The sequence below is a fragment of the Homo sapiens genome, chromosome 22 (genome assembly GCF_000001405.40).
Source record: "Homo sapiens chromosome 22, GRCh38.p14 Primary Assembly".
NCBI classification, from domain to species: Eukaryota; Metazoa; Chordata; class Mammalia; order Primates; family Hominidae; genus Homo; species Homo sapiens.
The window spans coordinates 39618927-39638222 of record NC_000022.11 but is presented as its reverse complement, the minus strand read 5'-3'; the positions used below and the strand labels follow the sequence as shown (position 1 = coordinate 39638222).

Below are 19296 nucleotides of genomic sequence, written 5' to 3'. Positions count from 1 at the left end.
CACGCCTGTAATCCCAGCACTTTGGGAGGCCGAGGTGGGTGGATCGCTTGAGGTCAGGAGTTCGAGACCAGCTTGGCCAACATGGCAAAACCCCATCTCTACTAACAATACAAAAATTAGCCATTTAATAGCGTGGTGGCATGCGTCTGTAATCCCAGCTACTCAGGAGGCTGAGGCAGGAGAATCACTTGAACCTGGGAGGCGGAGGTGGCAGTGAGCTGAGATCATGCCACTGCACTCCAGCCTAGGCGATAGAGTGAGATTTCACCTAAAAAAAAAAAATCTTGACTCCATCTACAAACCATACACAAAGCTAGATTTGGACGTCAGACCTACATGTAAAGGATTTTTCTTTTTAAAAAAGTAAGTTCCTAAAAGAAAGCACTGGAAGATATTTTCACAACCTTTAGAAAAGATTTCTTAAACAGGACACAAAAAACAATGCTAAAAAAATGATTGATAAACTGGACTTCATTACAACTAAGAGATTCATTCATCAAAAGACACCGTTAAGAGAGCAAAATGTAATTCCTTCTTTTTCATGTCTGTGAGTATTCCGCTGAGTGAGTACACTGCCACTTATTTATTCATTCTGCCAATGGTTTGGGGTTGTTTCTGGTTTTTTGGCTCTTATGACTCATAAATATTCTTGTACACATCTTTGGGTATATATAAGCCATCCCTTTTTTGGGTAAATACACAGGAGTGCTGCCAAGTGACAGAGGCAGGATTTGACCCTGAACGCCAGGCTGGGGCTCCGATTTCTAACCCACACGCCACACCGCAGCAGTGGGGTTGCCTCGATCAAGAGTACCCTCCCCACCTACTCCCTGTCCCCCCATCTGCCTGGAGACATTTTTCTTGAATCTTTTAGGTTCAGCTCAAGTTCACATCCTCTGAGAAGCAAGAAGTCCCACTGGTCCTCTGTGAAGCGAGAAGCCCCATTGGTCCCCACCCTGGCTGGTCTTGTACCCGCTCTGGGCTTCCAGGCCCCACTCTGCCAAGCCCAGAGCATCCTGAGGCCTAATTTTCAACACATGCAGTTCCCCAGTGAGACAGTACAGAGGGCAGTGGCCAAGATAAAGGGTCTCTGCATCCCCAGGGCCCAGCATAGGCCCTGGCCCCTGGAAGGGGTCGGTGAGTGTTTGTGGAATGACAGTGTCCTGACACCCACACAGCCAGGGAGAGGCTGGATGCTTGCTGGAAGCCTTGCTGTTGGCCCTGGGTGAGTCCCTTCCCATCTAGGCCTCAGTCCCCATCTGCATAGTGACAGGTTGGGCTGAGGCTTTCAGTGGCCCCATCTCCCACCTGTGCGTGTTACGCCCCAGGAAGGGCCCTTCTCCGCCCTGACGACGGAGCTCTGTCCATCTCACAGGGCCCACTGTGCCAGGAGCTAGAGGCTTCCAGGCAACAGCCCGGCTGGGGAGAGCCCGAAAAGAGGACTTTGAGGAATTCCCCTGCCCAACTGCCTGGTTCCCCAAGATCCTAGCTAGGATCTTCTCAAATTCCAGCTTTCTGATCACCCAGAAGAGATCTTGCTGCCTCTTTGTGAACCCTGGTTACCAACTTCTCTGCTCCCTGCCCTAAACAAGCCTTGTGAGTTAAGGTCTAAGCCTCCCTTATTTCTACAGGAGTCACAGGCCTGGGATGACCCTGGCCTTGCTCTCCACCAGACGTGCGTGAACTTTACTCATCTCCTTTTTCACGCAACACCGACCATCCCCCAGCCCAATAGGGCATGTGAGTTAATAACACCCACCCTAAGAGAATGAAGCCAGGAGCTCAGAGGGAGGCGTGGCAATCACCCAGCATCTTCCCTTAGGGCGTTCTTTCTCCAGGGACATTTCCTTGTATTTATTATTCCCTTCCTGGGGCGGGGATGGGGGTGGACCAGATAAGGTTCCTCTTTAACACAGCCCAAGCACATCCTCAGCATCCTCCCTCCAACTCTCCTTTTGCAGCCGAGACAGGGCTGGGGCCATCTCATGGGGCCTGGGGAAGACCACAGAGGAGGAGACATCAGGGAACGGGACGCAGAGTCTCCAACACGCCAGGCCTAGGAAGAACTGGTTCTCGCTCCCAGCCTGCCTCTGGGTGGTAAATGCACTCACACATCCACTTACTCACTTATTCCTTCAACAATTAGTTGGGAGCACCTGTGCCAAGCCCTGCTCTAGGCCTGGGAGGAGTTAAGCCCCAGGTGCCCCTGCTGTGGTAGAGAACTCACATTTCAGGGGCCTCCAGAGACCTCGGATGAACCGACAGGAGATGATTTCAGAGAGATGAGTCAAGAAGAAAACCCAGCAGGGCTGTGTGATGGCGAGCTTGGGGCTGGGGTGGTGAGGGAGGGCGAGGGAAGGCCTCTAGGAGGAGGTGTCAGGTGGGCTGAGCCCACATAATAAGAAGGGGCTGGCCACAGAAGGATCCAGGGAAAGAGCCCTGTGGGACAGAGGGGCGGAGCTCACACTACCCTGACTTCGAAGCAGCTGCCTCTCCCCAGCCCCACTGCCCCAGGCCCTGCCTCAGGACCTGCCTCTTCTGGGGATGGGCACAAGTGTAGACCCCCTTCCTGAATCCCCACTTGGGGCCTTTACCCACCAAGGTGCCCCTGCTGTGGTCTACCCAGGTACCCTACTGTTCCCCCACAGCGATGGGTGGATGGGCCAGTTCCTACCCAACTTTCACCCTCCAGCTCTGCTACCCTCTCCCCAACCAGGCCGGGAGGGAGAAACTAGCCCTCACCTGTACAGTGTCCCCACGTCCCCACGCTTCCTACAGTCACCTCGGTCCATGATTAACAGACTGAGAGGCACTCACTAGAGGTGTTTGGGATCGGCTCCCAGCCCTGCGCTTCTCAAGGGCAGGGGGCAGGGACCCCCCCCCTTCTGCCGCATCCTGAGCCCCGAGCACAGGCTCAACAAAGGGAAGTGAGAACATGGATGAAGATGCTCTCCTATTTCTGACTCCCTGGGGCCTGGCACTTAGTCGGTGCACGCCATGCATATCTGAAATGAATGCATATTCACATCCAAACACATACACGCAGGTACATGTGTGTGCACACTTATCCCCCACCACTACGGAAGCACGGGTTCTATAGGTGTCCAATTTTTCAGACAACTAAGCCCAGCTCCTCCAAGATCCAGAGCTTGATTTGTGTGTCAATAATCCTCTCTCGGAGGAATGTCTCGCCCCCTGCTTTCATACACAAGCGGCCAAATGGGAGCTCACCCTTCCTGGATGACTCAGCCACCAAGGGGAATGAATGTGCTGTGGGCGGAGAGCCAAGTTCTGTGCCTGCTCTTCAGGTTTTCTGTCTTCTTTTTCCTCCTGGGCATCACTTCTGCTTGTGTCTTAACTTCCCTTTCCCCTCCTACCTGACCTCTCTTTTTTTGCTGCTTCTACCCCATTGGTCCTGATTCCCAATGACCCAGAAGGTTAAAACTGTGTCTTAGTAAGAGTCCCCGGAGCTGCATGGGTGGCAGGGGATGAACTCACATGGTGAAGTTCTCCTCCAGGAAGCAGCGGTTACGCAGCAGGCCCGCCCAGAGCTGCACACCTATGATGCCAAAGATGAAGAAGACAAAGAAGCAGAGCAGCAGGACATTCCCCAGCATGGGCAGTGTGTCCAGGAGCAGGTTCACCAGGATCCGCATACCTGGGAGGGGAAAAGGTGGAGGGATGGTCAGACAGGGAGCAGAGGTCCCAGAGACGAAAGAGTGAGAGCAAGGTTAGAGAAACAGGGAGGGGGAGGGGGATGCATTATCAGGGGCTCCTTGCTGTTCCCATCCTGTTCAGTGGCTGCCAGATACACCCTCTCCTTTTTATCTGCCCCTCCACCGAAAAAGCCATGGAAATGGCTCTGGGCCCTGCTCCACTTACACTAGATTGTGAATGAACAAGCAAGCATTTATGCAGCACCTTTTATGTACCAAGTGTTCTTCTGCGTACTTGCACAAATGTGATCTTCAGTCTTCACAACAACTCTGTGAGGTTGGTACTCTTATTTCTATTTTATAGAGAAGGCAACTGGAGACTCAAAGAACTGAAACTGCTTGCCGTAGGTCACACAGCTCAGAAGCAGCAGGGTCTAGATTTAAACCAGGTGTCTTGACACAAAGTCTAGCTGTCTTTTCACAACCCCCTTGTCCCAGAGGCCTTGGGACTGAGGCTGGTTCACCTTAGTATGCCCAGCACCTGCAGAGTGGTTGTAGTACGTGCCCAATGAATGTGTCCTGAATACCCTTTGTCTCTGAGACAGTCACTGTTCCCCTTGACCATGTCAGGACACAGCAGTACCAGCCAGAACTACCACTCCCACTGCATGATGGAACCAGGCAGAGCCCCCAGAGCCAACTTCAGAAGAGCCAAGCGCCTGCTAACGGGCTCTACAGAGAAGGCCCACACAGGAGTCCATGGCCCCAAAGAAGGTGAAGAGCTGGTGGGGCACCTTTGAGTACACACCCTCCCCCTAAGATCCTGTAGAGTCCATACTGCCCACCTCTCTAGTTTCATACCTCTCTCAATTTGCAGTCTACTGCCTTGCAGTGCCAAATTATTTGAAGTTCCCTAAACATACTGTGAGATTTCACACCTCCATGCTTTTATCCCTGCTGTTCCCTCTTCCTAGAACACCCTTGCTCCTCTCTTCTGCCTGGCAAATCCCTATTCAGCCACCGCAGCCCTGTGAAAGCTCTTTCTGTGAAGGCTTCCAGACTCTTACATCATCCCAGGTAGAGTTCATCCTTCTCTCTTCTGCTCTGGGCAATCTCAGCACCTCTGACCTAGCCTAGGCTGCCACGTACAGTTGTGCAGGTTGTATACTGCACAACCTAGGAGGTTCCATCCATATCAATATCTCGTCTTATTCTAGCCCTAATGTATAGTTGTCTGTTTACTTTCCTATCTCTTCCACTAGGCTATAAGGTTCTGGGGGCAGGGCCCTTGTCTAAGTCACCTCAGTATTCCCAGAACCCAGCAGGTCCTGGCCCAGAAGACAGGCTCACCTAACATTTGTTCAATGACTACTCATGAATGAATGATGTGATAAGTCATGGGGAGGGAGTGGAAGATTGGAGAGAGGAAGATGGAAGGATGGTGACAAGTAGAACAGTGGCCCTGTCCAGATGGTTGTGTATGCTAGGGGTGAGCCTGAGGTGCTTATTAATGAGGATAATTATTTGGAATTTGCGTCACAAACTCTGTGTGCAGTGATTTCCAATCAATAATTAAGGCCCACCCCATCTTCCCTCTCCACAAAACTAGGTCAGCCTCCTCTCAGGAAAGACAGTGGAGCTTGCCTGCAGGCTGCTTCACCCCACCGAGAGCAGGCCAGGGTGAGGCTCAGCTCCCCACCACCCTACACCCCCAAGCAGGGAAGCGAGGCGTGTACAGCAGAGGGAAGGGAGAAATAGAATGGGTGCCCTCATAATCCATCCAAATGGATTCCCTGACTCAAGTAGGCCAACTGCAGGCCTTTCTGGTGCCCCATCGTTCATTCATTCATTCATTCATTCACTCACTCATTCATTCATGAAACACATAGTAAATGCCAGCTGCATGCCAGGCATGGCGTTGGGCACATGGGGAATCCAAAGACAAACAAGACCCATTTTTTACCCCCCCAACCCTCCCCCCACACACACACAGAGCTCACAGCCTGGCAGCAAGGGGACAGGGGACCAAGTGTTGAGCCAAAGGACTGTGTCTGGGGAGTGGGGCCGCTCCGGGCACATTTGCTGAGCTGGACTCCAGGATGCGAAGCCTTGGCCAGCAGAGGGACTGGCATGGGCAAAGGCACTATTCCTGAAGGCGGTTGCAGGGGGCTCTGAGGAGTGTGGGGCTCTGTGCTGGGTGGCTGGGCAAGGAGGTCTGCTGGCATATTTCTAAGCAAGCAGAACCCTCGATCAGCTCTGAGCTTCAAAAAAGAATGGGCGAGCCCCGAGGCCAGGACAGGGGCAGGAGGCAAGCACAGAGGGCCGGTAGCAGCTGGAGAAGAGGCTGGATGAGAAGGGCCTGGAGAAGGCAGCTCCACACGGTCCCAGCCTGGCTGCTTCATTCCCGCTCCTGCTTCTCCCTCGGGCCGGCCTTTGTCGCTCAATTAATTACATCTCCCTTGTTCTCTGGGATATTGAAATTCCAAAAGGCTCCTGCAAACCTATCCGGCTGGCTTCCCTGAATGGCAGCCCCGTCCCTCCTCCCCGACCCGCCTCACTCTGCCCAGCTGGGCCCCAGCGCACTTCACAGCCCTCCCTGGGGCCCAGGGAGTCCCAGGGCCACAGAGCCCTGGCATAATTAGCTAATTAAGGACTTAGAACTACTTTATCCCTTCCTTGCCAGGGAAGAGGGGCCACAGGATTAGGGATTCAGGGAGGACCCCAAGAGACTATGGCTAATCTTCCTTTCATGCCCACAGTCAAGTAATTAGCCAAGACAGGTTGGCCAGTTACACTCTGCCCTCAGTGCCTCTGGAGACTGGCACAGGAGGTGGAGGCAAGGAGAGAAGAGAGAAAAGCAGACAGAGGAGAAAGTGAAACCAGGAGTGACAGAAAGAGAGACAGAAGACAGAGAGAAAGAGCGGAGAGGCTGCCTGCAAGTCACCATCTGCCTCAAACCATCCTTTCTACTTCATCTCCCACCACACCTTCCCCCGGCCAAACCCTCCTCCTCCAGGCAGTCCTCCCTGATTCTCACCCCCAGTTAGTCACGAAGCCCTCCTGCCTCTCATTGCCCCAAGGCGCTCAGTCACTGTCAGGATGGGCTTACCTGGTTCTGTGTTCTTAGTGCACCTTTTCAGGCCTTCTGCCTGGAGCAAGAGCCAGATGGGCCATGATGGGGACAGGCTACAGGCAGCCCCATGAGTGTGATTGAGGGCCCTGGCTCCCCAGCTAAAAAGGGGAAGAGGACCCTGGAGTCCTCAGGACACCTGATGCAGCCCCCAGCCCGGTGAGCGCCCAGAGCACAGACCCAGGACATGAGATCTGGTCCCAGTCCCAGTAGGGTGGCCTTGAGGCAAAGCTTGCCTTCTCTGGGCCCCAGTGGCCTCATCTACAGAGGGGACAGTGGCTCCTGTCCAGCCAGCCCTTCAGGAATACCACGGGGCCAGGACACCTCTGACGGAAGATTCCCTGAAGTCAGAAGCCTCCAACAGCCCATACGCCCCATGGGAAAGTGCAAATCCTTATCCCCCACCTTCCTGGCCCCTGCTCACAGACTCCTCCCGAGTCTGGCCCCACCTCCCTCCATCCTCCCTGCCACACCTGAACCTGCGGCACCAGCCTGACTGGCAGCTCCCAGCATCCCCACTCCCCAGCCCTGCACACACTCTGCCCCCACCCACGACACCTCCTCCACCCTGCCATAGGATCCCGGAACTGCTGTGCTGCACCCAGCCAGAAAGATCCACTTCCAGTGCTGGAAAGCCCACTTTCGGGGCTGCCTCCGTGCCCTTGCACATGCTTGGAGGGCCATCCCTCACCTCCTTTTTGGGGATCTCAGCTGAGCGGTCGCCTTGTCTGGTGTCTCTGCCATGAGTTACTGCTGCCCACCCGCCCTCCATCATAGCCTGTGCCAGTTCCCGGCTCTGCCTCCTCCTCCCCGCTGGAAACCAGGCATGCTCTGCGCCCAAGGCCAAGGCGGCTGCTCTGTGTTCTCCCATCCAGACCAGGACCGGGCACAAAGCAGTCCCTTGAAGGCCGACAGCTTGAATGAGTAAAGGAGCGGTGGGCGAGTGAATGGAGCCACTCAGCAAGTACTGAATGAGGGCTGGCTCCGTGCCGGGCACTGTGCTAGGCTCTAGGGATACATGAGTTGTGAAAAACCAAAACAGAGTTCCCTGTCCTCGTGAGGCTCACATCCCAGGTACGGTAGGGAAAAGCAGGCAATAAATAAATAATAAATAAACCACATGGGTGATACACAAGGTCACGTCCTCGTTCGTTGGGTGAAAAGTGCTATGAAAACAAAACAGAGAAGGGAGAAAGGGTTGGGGGTTTGGCCTGGGGTCGGGTGAACATTAAATAGGGGGCCAGGAAAGGCAGGATGATGCTGAGCAGAGACAGGGAAGGGGTGGCAGAGTCAGCTGAGGGGCTGTCGCTGTCTGGGGGACAGCCCTCAAGTCGGAGGCAGCCTGGACAAAGGCCTAGAGGCGGGAGGGAGTCAAGCACAGCCACAGCCACAGCAAGGAGACCATGCGGCTGGGGGGAAGCTGAGCAGGGATGAGGCTGGGGAGGAGACAGGGCCAGGGGGCTGGAAGACTTGAGCTTCTCCAAAGGGTCATGGAGCAGAAGGGAGACGTGATCTGGGGAAGGGGTGAGAGGATTGCTGGGCTGCTGGGTGGAGAATGGATCGCGGGGGGCCAGGGCAGAGGAGAGAGAGCATCAGCCGCACAGTCTGCAGGATCCTGTGCAGACGCCCCTGTGGACAGCGCCCCGAACGGCATACACATCTCTGAAAGGGGGTCAGGCCTGTGGGCTCCACAGCTGTGTGGTCGCTGCCTCCCGGGGGTCTCACGTGGGACAGAAACCGGAGCGCTGAGTGTGGGGCCCAGGAGAGCTGTGGTTCCCTGCTCTGTGCCCTCACTGTTGAGATGGCCCAGGCCAGACACTGGGCCCTCTCCACCACCCTCACGGCCTGATGATTGGGCCTTCCGTCCCCCTGCTCCTCTCCGTCCTGCCTGGCCCTGCCTGGCCGTCATACATTCATCATTGTGATAAACCGGAAGATGGTGGGGCTGGGCCCAGATAATGATGGCAGTGGAGTGGGGAACATGGTGGATTCTGGAGGTATTTTGGAGGCCAAGCAGAGGGATGGGATATGGATGTAGGAGGAAGAGGGCAGTTGGGGACGACTCCAAGGTTTGGGGCCTGGAGCCACAGAGCGGCCTTCAGCGGGGGTGGGGCTCCATCTGGAGATGTGGAGCTTGGGATGGCCGGGGTACATCCCCATGGAGTCGCTTTGCCAGATCTTGGGGTCTGGAGTTCAGGGGAGAACAGTCTGGCCCGGGAGCGTCATGTGGAGCACCAGGGTGAGGACGGTCTCTAGACAGCACTGAAAGCTAGGGGCTTGGTGGTGGCAGATGGCAGCGGGCAAGTGGATGGAGCTGCTCACCCTTTTTGGGGACCCCTAGGCTAGAGCCTCTGCTTGAGAGAACCTGGGCAGCAGCCAGGCAGAGGCAGCCCCTCAGTGGCAGTGGGGACACCTGAGAGGAGGTGGCAGGAAGAACAGGAAGCACTTCCTGACAGGCATCACCCCTGGAGGTTTGGGGTGTTCTTGGCAGAGGGGAGCTGTCAGCCCAGATCAGTCCAGCCAGGCCAGCTCAAGTAGAAATTGCCAGACGCGTGCCAGCCTCTGCCAGGGCACAGCCCGTGGCCCAGAAGAGTGGAGTCGGGGCGAGGGGAGCCGAGGCTGTGGCCTGGCCACTGGGGGCCACTCTCCCTGGACTGGCCAGGTCAGTAAAGGGGCTGGGCGGCTGGGAGAGGCCGTCTGCTGCTCCTGCCATTGCCGGCGCCAACTAATCAGGAGCACAGTGGGCACCAAGAGGCCTGGCCAGGCAGCAGACAGCCAGCTTGCCGGGGTCACAGCTGCCGGCCCAAGGCCCAGCCAGGGAGGGGCCTGTGGGCTGGTGGAGGGCCTTGGTGCCCACTGCTGAGAAAGGAAGCCAACCTCAGCCAGCCAGCAGCTCACTTCCCCCATCCCAGGAGAGGCCTCAGGTCCCTCCCAGAGCTGGCTGCGCTCACACCCTCGGGGGCTGGCCCGGCTGTCTCACTGAAGGTCCCCCCACCTGCTGTGCCCCAAACCACTCCTAGGCATCCTTCAAGTGTCCTACCACCCCCTCCTCTGGGAAGCCTCCTCCTAGACCAGGTAGGCACCCTTTCCCATCAGCCCCTGCCCCGATCAGATCAGGCGTCCCACTGGCCTGCAGCTGTCAGCCTTTGGGGAAGGGGCTGTGCCTGATCTTGGCCCCACATCTGGCCAGGGTCTCGCCCAGAGAACCCCCGGTGGATTTTACTTTGGATGAATGATGGAATCGATCCATGAGTCAGTTAATCCACACAGTGGCCCAGTCCTTTGATCTGGTGGCCTGTCCAGGACACTCCCTCCCTCCGGATTTGTAGAACAGAATGCAGAACTCGACCTGAGGGAGGGGGAGAGGGAGGCACTGCCTTTGCCCTGCCCCACCCCCAAGCACTTCTCCCTGCAGGGTCCAGGCTGCTCTTTCCTGTTCCCAAATCCAGCGCTCGCCAGATGCTCTGGCCAGATGTTCTCCCACCCACCCAGCCCCACCTCTTCCAGGAAGGGAGCAGCCCTGGGGAAACTGGCCCCCCTCATTTCATCTCCCCATTTCTCTCCCTCCTTCCCTCTCTTCCTTCCCCATGGGGGCTGTCAGGCCTTTCTCCCTCAGGATGAAGTGGGAGCCCCTTGTGGGTGCCTAAAACAGACAGCCCTGAAGTCCAAGGTGTGGCCTGGTGGGGGCTGACAGCCCAGTAGCTTTCCTTCTGCTCTCCCCAAGCCGAGAGTAAACACATGCTTCAGGCGAAAATGCCGACACTTCCACGCCAACTATTTCAAGGTGCATCTCTCAGAACTGTCCAACAAATGCCCCCCAAGGCCCTTCCAAGAAGGAATCCTGAGGCCTTCCTCGCCCCTCTTCAGCAGGGCTGGCCTGACCATGACCCTGGTTGGGCAGGCACCTGGGCAGGAAAGGGCTTGGCCTGGGGCGTGAGGGTTGGCACCCGCTGTGCACTAACCACAGTGCCATCCTGCCCGGCCCCCTTTCAGAGATGTGTGTGCCGTTCGGGGCGCTGTCCACAGGGGCGTCTGCACAGGATCCTGCAGACTGTGCGGCTGATGCTCTCCCTCCTCTGCCCTGGCCCCCCGCCTGCCTCGTGGCTTCAGCCCGAAAGGGGATCAGCACCACGAGACCTGTGCACCCCAACAGTGAAAGGCACTCAGAGGTCTGGAGCAGACCAGGCTGAGGGGGGAGATGGAAGGAGAGAGGGCCTCGAGGTGTCACTGCAGCCCACGGGACCTCTCTCCTTTGACCCTGGAAGTGGGCAGGGGTGTTTCCTGATGTCCTGCAGACACTGGGGACGGGAGTGGGTGTCTGGCGCCTACACGCTAAAAGAACGGAAAGGAGATACTGACACAGAGTGAAAAGCTGTAGGGTCAGGTGAACACGGGTTCAAACCCTAGCTCTGTCCCCAGCCAGCTGTGTGGTCTTGGGCAGACTAGTCAACCCCTCTGCCTGCTTCCCCATCTAGAAAGTAGGTGTCACAATGCCACTAACTTCCTAAAGCTGTAGTGAAGATGAAATGACACTGCCCATGTAAAGCACTGTGATGAGCTTGTCACAAGCACTTGATAAACTTTAGCCACTTATCAGGCGGATCTCAAGGTCCAGAGATCAAGACCATCCTGGCCAACATGGTGAAACCCCGTCTCTACTAAAAATACAAAAATTAGCTGGGTGTGGTGGCACACGCCTGTAGTCCCAGCTACTCAGGAGGCTGAGGCAGGAGAATCGCTTGAACCCAGGAGGCGGAGGTTGCAGTGAGCCGAGATCACGCCACTGCACTCCAGCCTGGCAACAGAGCAAGACTCCGTCTCAAAGAAAAAAAAAAACTTTAGCCACTTATGATTATAATTAACTCCCTAGAAGATGTGAACAACCCTCTCCTTTTCCCGCCACGCAGTCCCCTGCCCACCCACACGATGCCCAGCCCAGGATGACACCTCCACTCCACCTTTGCACATGCCAATCTATCTGCCAGGCACACCCTCTCCAACCCTCAGCTGATGAGTGTCTTCCAAAACCAGCCCCTGAGAAGACGTCCCTGACACTCTACGTCCACCCTCACTACTCCCAGCACCTTATCTAGCAGCAGCACCTGCGGATCGCGTAGGCACACGAGGCTGTGCACGCAGCTCTCTACACCCACGGTGGCATTTCAGCCTTCCTAACCAGATGGACATGGGTATTATTAACTTCTCTTGAGAGCTGGGGAAATAGAGGCACGGAGAGGCACGTGGCTTACTCAGGGTCCCACAGCCAGTGGGTGGAGGCCCTGGGACCAGAACCTGGCCTGACAGCACAGAGCAAACCTCCAGCTGGTTGTGCAGCCGAGGGGATGGCAGCCTTCCCCACAGCATTGTCAGGGACTGTGAGCTCGGGCTCAGGGCTGCCCCTGAGCTCCCCAGGGTCTGCCTCGCCCCTGCGCCACAGCCTGGGTCGGGGGAACTATCACCTCTCTGGCCAGGCCTTGGCAGTGACTGCCCTCGTTTCTTACTGGAGAAAACAGCACTTTTCATATGTAAATGACTCAGGCAGTATGCTTAAGGAAGCAAGGCAGTGCCTTGAGAGATGTACAGGCTGGGGGTGGGGTGGGGCGGGGGCACATTTAGAGATAATTCAGCCCCATCTTGCCAAGGCCCAGAGAGAGGCGGTGACTTAGGAAAGGTCACACAGAGAGGAACCAGAACCCAGACTCCCAACTCCTAATTTGGCGCTTCCTTCCTCCCTCCCCAACCACCTCTCTGCTGTCTTCCTCTCTTTATCCATCAGAGGCTGAGTGGCCTGAACAAGGACCTGCAGGGGTGGGGTGGAGAGACATGTATTTTATACGATTCTGTAAGCAGCACCATGATGTCCATGTCCCCCGCTCATCCTGGACAAAGTTGAGAGCCACGTATTTAATCCAGTTTATCCTCCTGCTTTGTTTGTACGAGTAGGGAAACCGAGGCCCAGAGATGCCAAGGGACTTCTCAGGTCACACAGCAGGCATATGGCAGAGCTAAGACCAGAACTTTTATTCTCTGACCCACACTTGCATCTTCCTGGTTGTTCATGCTGGAGCTTTGCAGCCTTTGCTGTATTTTTAAACCGCAGGCAACCAGCCCACTCCTCATGGCTTTGCAATTAATAACCCGTCATTTGACTGCGCCCATCACCAGCTCTCTAGCTTGCCCTCTAGAAATGAGACTAAAAGCTACGGGCTACTGTTGAAAAGACTGTGTCCCGGCTGGGCACGGTGGCTCACGCTTGTAATCCCAGCACTTTGGGAGACCGAGACGGGTGGATCACAAGGTCAGGAGTTGGAGACCAGCCTGGCCAACACAGTGAAACCCCGTCTCTACTAAAAATACAAAAATTAGCTGGACGTGGTGGTGGGCACCTGTAATCCCAGCTACTCGGGAGACTGAGGCAGGAGAATCTCTTGAACCGGGAGGTGGAGGTTGCAGTGAGCCAAGATCATGCCACTGCACTCCAGCCTGGGTGACAGGGCTAGATGCTGTCTCAAAAAAAAAAAAAAAAAAGACTGTGTCCCAGGGCAGAAGCAGCTCAAACCATAAGTAGGAGAAATGTCTGCAGGAAAATCATATTTTAAAAAAAAGAAAATAAAAAAACCAGGCAACTATGAAATCTCTCTAGGAAGCACTTCTGAGAGCCTGAGCCACCCCTTCCCCACCTCAAGTCACTAATCCCCTGGTGGCTCTGGGCAGGGGACCTGGCACCTGAGGACAAAACTGTCTGTCCCGCGAAATGAGGGTTAGACCAATGGACTTTAAGCCCCACGTGCTCCAACAGCCTGCGGCTCCCGCAGAATCGCCTGTGAGTATCTGCAGGGCCCTTCCAGGGGAACACCAGCTGCTGGAGGGCCAGTGCTCCCAGTAACTCCCCAGTGCTGGTTCTGAGAGAACCAGGCTGTCCTCTGAGAAGCGGAATCAGGCTCAGGGGCGGGAAGCCGACACTCCCCCAACTGCCCAGCGGTGGCCACTAGCAGGAGGAGACCCTGAGGAAAGGCTCGGAGCCCGCTCGGAGCTCCTCTGTAATTGGAGCGCAGGGGGATGTTGGGCACAGGGTCAATCCCTGCCTTCCCAGAGGCCAGGGCAGGCTGGTGCTGGGGACCGGGAGTGTCCTCCACCTCCGGGGAGCAGCTTAATGAACTCCCCACACAGCAGGAGAGGAACCAGGAGGAGCAAAGAGGACCTGGAGGGAGAGGCACAGGCGCCCACACACACGTGCAAGGCGCACGCACGCTCTTCACACACACACACCCTCACAGGCACACACATGCTCGCTACACACACACTCTTCATACACACACCCTCACAGAGACATACACACTCTTCACACACGCGCTCTCACAAACACACCCTCACAGGCACACACATGCACTTCACACACATACCCTCACAGGCACACCCCTTCATGGACACACGCACGTTCAGAGGCGCACACACACCCTTGACACATACACACCCTTTCACACACACCCTCACAGGCACACACACAAACACGTCACACATACACCCTCACAGGCGCACACACACACTTCACACACACACACCCTCACAGGCACACCCCTTTATGGACGCACACACGCTCAGAGGCACACACACACTCTTGACACGTACACACCCTTTCACAGACATACACACCCCCACAGGCACACATAGGCTCATAGACACACGCATGTTCACAGGCACGCATACTTTCATAACACACCTCCTCACAGCACACACACCCTCACAGCCACACACCCCTCACAGGCATACCCCCTCGCAGCACACATACACACACAGGCACACACACACACAGGCACACACACCCTCACAGGCACACACACATCACAGCAAACACTCTCACAGGCACACACACCCTCACAGGCACACACACACAAGCACACATATGCTCAGGCATGAACATATTCATAGGCATACACAGACACCCTCCCAGGCAGACACAGCACACACCCTCACAACACACACACTTTCATAGGCACGCACTCTCACATGTACACACCCTTACATGTGCCCATTCACGTGTGCAGGCTTTCACATTTGCTCACTTGTGCACACACATCCTCAGATGCACACATTGTCACATGCACACACACTCTCCCATGTACTTACATGTGCACACGCACCTCACAGGCACATACTCACCTGTGCACACCCTTCATTGCACACACACTCGTGCACACACGTCCTCACACGTGTTCTCTGGTGGACACACACCCTCACACCCACACACACCCTCACACCCACACACACCCTCACACAGATGTAGAGAAGCCCGCCTGGCAAGAGCGAGGCCTCCGCCCGTGTCCCGTCCCATGCCCCTAAGCCCGCCTGCAGCCTCAGCGGTCCCATCACAGTGCTGCCCCCTGCTGGGCAGACCCTAGACCGGACAAGAGGTTCAGATCAAGATCACGTACAAACATCCCTTGTGTGCGACCCTCTGCAACGTGCACACACCTCTGGAAGGTGGCGGTGCCTGTGGGCTCCGTGGCCTGGAGTGTGACCATGGTCCCATGGCAGCTGCCTGCTGAGGGCAGCCCCCGCCGTCCCCCAGGACAGAAACAAGCAGCACTGTGGGTGGGAGCCAGGAGCGACGTGGCCCTCTGTGCTGGCCCCTGAGAGCTGAGGTCCCTCCCGCCCACCCAGGTGCCCACACCAGACACTCAAGGAGGACCTGGACTGGGCCCAGCAGTCCCTCTCCCACCCACTTGCTGCTCTGCATCCCACCCCCACCCCTGCCCAGTACCGGCCATTCGCTCACACCTGTTCCAGGAGCAGTCCCATGTCCAGCTCACCCCCACTGCCCCCCCCACCGCCCCCCCCACACCGCACTCTGGCCAGGGGTGTTTCTAAAGCAACCACTTGCTAACCTCTTCCTATGCTCCCACTGCCCTCAGGCACATGGTCCATGCCCAGGCCCTGTCCTCTCCAGCCTCATGCCCCACCCCTTGGTCCACCCAGCCTGTAACCCCCAGCTCCTGCAGCTCCCTCCCCAAGCCCTTTACACTCCCTGAACCCCCGCTACTGCCGCCCAGCCCTCCCCCTCCACCTACTCAATCCCCATCCTCCCCTGGGTCTCAACTCAGACATCCCCTTCTCCCGGAGGCCTCCCGACCCCCAGCCCCATTCTCCCTGCCTCCTCATGCCCGGCACAGGAGCATGTATAGCTCTGTGGTCCTGGCACAGTACACAGCTCAGTACACCTGCTGTGTCCATTTCACACGTGTCTTTGGCGCGCCTTCTGTCCGCCAGGCAGAGTTCTGGGTGCTGAGTGTACGGAGGCCACCTTTTGGCTCATTTCCCAGTAAAGTCAGGTGGGGCACATGGGAGAAAATCACACACTGTTGGGGAAGGTGTGCTGGTTTGGCTTGGTCCTTCCTGAACTGCTGTTTGGTCACACTGAATTGCTGTGTGACCCTGGACTAGCCACGACCCTCTCTGGACCTTAGTTTCCTCATTTGTTAAATGTGGGAAAGATGGTTTTGAACTAGGTGATCTTCAAGGAGCCCTCTGGGATTGGAGGGGATGAGGACAGAGAGAAGCTGGCCCTAAAATGGCCTCTCCGCATGTCCCCTCCCTGTGCCCAAGGGGGTCTCCCTAGGGCAGTGGGAAGGGGCCAGGCTGGTAGAGCTGAACTCCCCCTCCCCCTCCCGCACAGCTTTGGTTCCCACTACTCACTTGCCCTACCTCGCCTCCCAAACCCTTCCCCAAGACCCTCACAGTAGCACTGAGGACCCCCAGCGTTTTCTATCGTATTGTGACCTTGAGACCCCAGCCCCCAGGCCCCCTCTGTGCCCTACCCAAGCCAAGCCAGTCCCTCTCAGAACAAAGCAGGATTGGGCCACCCTCCAGGCTCAGAAAGCTCTGCCACCCTCCTGGTCACCTTGCTCCACAGATATTCTGAAGCATGGCCTCTCCTGCCCCGCCAGGCCTGCCCAGACTGACTGATGCATTCTGCAAGCCCGGGGTCAGGCCAGCCCCACAGGGCGCTCAGGATGGATGGACCACAGAGGTTGGCTGGGTGGGGTGGGTGACAGAGCCCCAAGGCCCCAGGGCTAGGAATAAAGGAATGGGGACAGCACTACCTGTGGAGGGGGAGCAGGTGCCAGGAGACCTGTACTCTTTGGCAGATGGGGAAACAGAAGCTCAGGCAGGGAAGAGAAGCAAGGGGTCAGACACAGCCAGGAAATAAACTGGGCTGAGGACAGACAGAACTCTGTTCAGATTCCAGCTCTGCCGCTGAATTGCTGTGTGACTTTGTGTGAGTCACTTAACTTCTCTGAGCCTCCCACAGGTTGTTGAGCCATCAGATGTCAAGTTCCTGGACCATAGGAAGTGGGTAAATGCGTATAAAAGCCCCAGGCAGCCAGGTGCAGTGGCTCATGCCTGTAATCCTAGCACTTTGGGAAGCCAAGGTGGGTGGATCACCTGAGGTCAGGAGTTCGAGACCAGCCTGACCAATATGGTGAAACCTCATCCCTACTAAAAATACAAAAATTAGCCAGGCATGGTGGCACATGCCTGTAGTCCCAGCTACTCATGAGGGTGAGACAGGAGGAGAATTGCTTGAACCTGGGAGGCAGAAGTTGCAGTGAGCCAAGTTCACACCACTGGACTCCAGTCTGGGCAACAGAGCTACGGGCTGTGTCTCAAAAAAAACAAACAAACAAACAAACAAACAACAACAACAAAAAAAAACCAGGAAGGCAGGCAGGGCCCTCATCCTCTCTTTCCCCAGTCTTCACCCCATTCCTAGAAGAGAGCAGTGAGGAGTCAGAAGACCTAACTGACTCCAGCCTTTGCTACTCACTGGCAGTGCGTCCCTGGGCAGGTAACCTCGTGTCTCCAAGTCTTAGTTTTTTCATCTGTAAAATGGCAACAGCTCACCTCCCTCAGAATGACTGTAAGGCTCAAAACAGGTCATGGACATGAAAACTCTACAGGGCTTATGGTTGCAAGATAACCTCTCTTAATACTAGGTGGGTGGGCAGGTGGATGGATGTGTGGGTGGACAGATGGATGGATGGACAGGTGGATGGGTGGATGAGTGGATGGACAGGTGGATGTCTGGCTGACTATACAGATGAATGAATGGACAAATGGAAAGATGGCTAGAAAGATGAGCAGATGTATGTATGTACGTATGGATGGATGGATGGATGGATGGATGGATGGATGGATGGACAGGTGGATGGGTGGACAGGTAGATGGATGGACGGGTGGGTGAATGGATGGATGAGTGGATGGATGGATGGATGGGTGGGTGGATGGATGGGTGGGTGGATGGATGGACAGGTGGATGGGTGGACAGGTAGATGGATGGACAGGTGGGTGGGTGGACAGGTGGGTGGGTGGATGGGTGGGTGGGTGGATGGATGGATGGATGGATGGATGGATGGATGGATGGATAGACAGGTGGATGGGTGGACAGGTAGATGGATGGATGGATGGATGGATGGACGGACGGACGGATGGATGGATGGATGGACAGGTGGATAGGTGGACGGGTGGATGGATGAACCGGTGGCTAGGCATATGGGTGAGTAGGTACATCGATCTGTGGTGGGTGAATGACAGAGCTCGACTTCTAAGTCAGTCAGCACAAGTGAGGGAGTCAGGTTTCATTGCCCCAGTGAAATGCTCTACGACGTCCTCCTTCAAACTAAGCAACTTCTTTTCCTATGGGTGCTTGCCTTGACATCCTATGAAGACCACTCTCCCATAAACTCTTCGTCCCTGAAAAGCCAGACTCCCCAGCATGCTCTCCAGACTCTCCTGGGACTCAGAAGCATTGGGACCACCTGCCAGTGTCTTCAGGCCCATGAGCTCTATGGGAGCAGGGCACATCTGTCTAGATAGACACCGCAGGATCCCTGAGCACACCCGGGCCCTAATCAGTCTTCTCCAAGTGAACGAAGCAGGGTGGGGGGGTGGGCATTGGCTAGGTAGGCCAGGGATGGGTTGGCCAGGGATGGATCAGCCAGGAATGTGTGGACAGGGCGGGGCTGACTCACTGGGCACGCGGTTGATGGCTTTGAGGGGCCTCAGGACGCGCACGGTGCGGATGGCTGACAGGTTGATGTTCTGAAGGTCCAGGGAGTACTCGACCATCCTGCAGAGAAAGGAGAGAGAGTGAGGGATGGTGCTGGAGGCCAGCTGGGGCCAGGGCCCGGGCCACAGCATTCTCCAGCCACCTGCGCACTACTGCCTGGACAGGGCAAGTAAAGACAGCAGTCGGATCTCCAGCTACACCTGGCCAACATGTGGCCTGGGGTTGGTGGCCCTTGTCTCCTCCTCTGTAAATGGCGCCGGTGACAGATGTGGGCAAGGGCTTAGAGCATGAAGGGAGCACAGATGTTGGGCTCCCACTGTGTGCCCAGCGCTGTGCCAGGTGGCTCCTGCCCCAGCGCATCCTCCTGGCCCGTGGCCCATGTCAGCCCCAGCTTCCACAGCAGCCTCTGAAAGTGGGAGGAACATCTCCTGCACCAAACGGCT

General features: G+C 56.3%; 1 protein-coding gene across 2 annotated transcripts in view, besides 6 other annotated features; it reads right to left on the bottom strand.

Moving 5' to 3' along the window:
* The window catches only part of CACNA1I (calcium voltage-gated channel subunit alpha1 I), a 118983-nt gene that overhangs the window by 51513 nt on the left and 48174 nt on the right, over window positions 1-19296 (bottom strand). For both annotated transcript variants that reach the window (NM_021096.4, NM_001003406.2), the window contains exons 4-5: window positions 18816-18913; window positions 3499-3658 (exon numbers count right to left, since the gene is read on the bottom strand). In NM_021096.4, coding sequence (NP_066919.2) covers window positions 3499-3658; window positions 18816-18913 — 258 coding nt within the window. The remainder of the gene's footprint in view (window positions 1-3498; window positions 3659-18815; window positions 18914-19296) is intronic.
* Window positions 2638-3357: an enhancer, noted in NCBI's record as "H3K4me1 hESC enhancer chr22:40030871-40031590 (GRCh37/hg19 assembly coordinates)". NCBI's record gives its function as "activates a minimal SCP1, AML or CMV promoter by ChIP-STARR-seq in primed H9 embryonic stem cells {active_cell/tissue: H9 hESC(primed)}" and the evidence as "EXISTENCE:reporter gene assay evidence [ECO:0000049][PMID:30033119]".
* Window positions 10203-10751: an enhancer, noted in NCBI's record as "H3K4me1 hESC enhancer chr22:40023477-40024025 (GRCh37/hg19 assembly coordinates)". NCBI's record gives its function as "activates a minimal SCP1, AML or CMV promoter by ChIP-STARR-seq in naive H9 embryonic stem cells {active_cell/tissue: H9 hESC(naive)}" and the evidence as "EXISTENCE:reporter gene assay evidence [ECO:0000049][PMID:30033119]".
* Window positions 10752-11301: an enhancer, noted in NCBI's record as "H3K4me1 hESC enhancer chr22:40022927-40023476 (GRCh37/hg19 assembly coordinates)". NCBI's record gives its function as "activates a minimal SCP1, AML or CMV promoter by ChIP-STARR-seq in primed H9 embryonic stem cells {active_cell/tissue: H9 hESC(primed)}" and the evidence as "EXISTENCE:reporter gene assay evidence [ECO:0000049][PMID:30033119]".
* Window positions 11725-12019: an enhancer, noted in NCBI's record as "tiled region #12417; K562 Activating DNase matched - State 5:Enh". NCBI's record gives its function as "activates a minimal TATA promoter and a strong SV40 promoter by Sharpr-MPRA in K562 cells {active_cell/tissue: K562}" and the evidence as "EXISTENCE:reporter gene assay evidence [ECO:0000049][PMID:27701403]".
* Window positions 15008-15117: an enhancer, noted in NCBI's record as "active region_19072". NCBI's record gives its function as "activates an Ori minimal core promoter by ATAC-STARR-seq in GM12878 lymphoblastoid cells {active_cell/tissue: GM12878}" and the evidence as "EXISTENCE:reporter gene assay evidence [ECO:0000049][PMID:35858748]".
* Window positions 15148-15247: an enhancer, noted in NCBI's record as "active region_19071". NCBI's record gives its function as "activates an Ori minimal core promoter by ATAC-STARR-seq in GM12878 lymphoblastoid cells {active_cell/tissue: GM12878}" and the evidence as "EXISTENCE:reporter gene assay evidence [ECO:0000049][PMID:35858748]".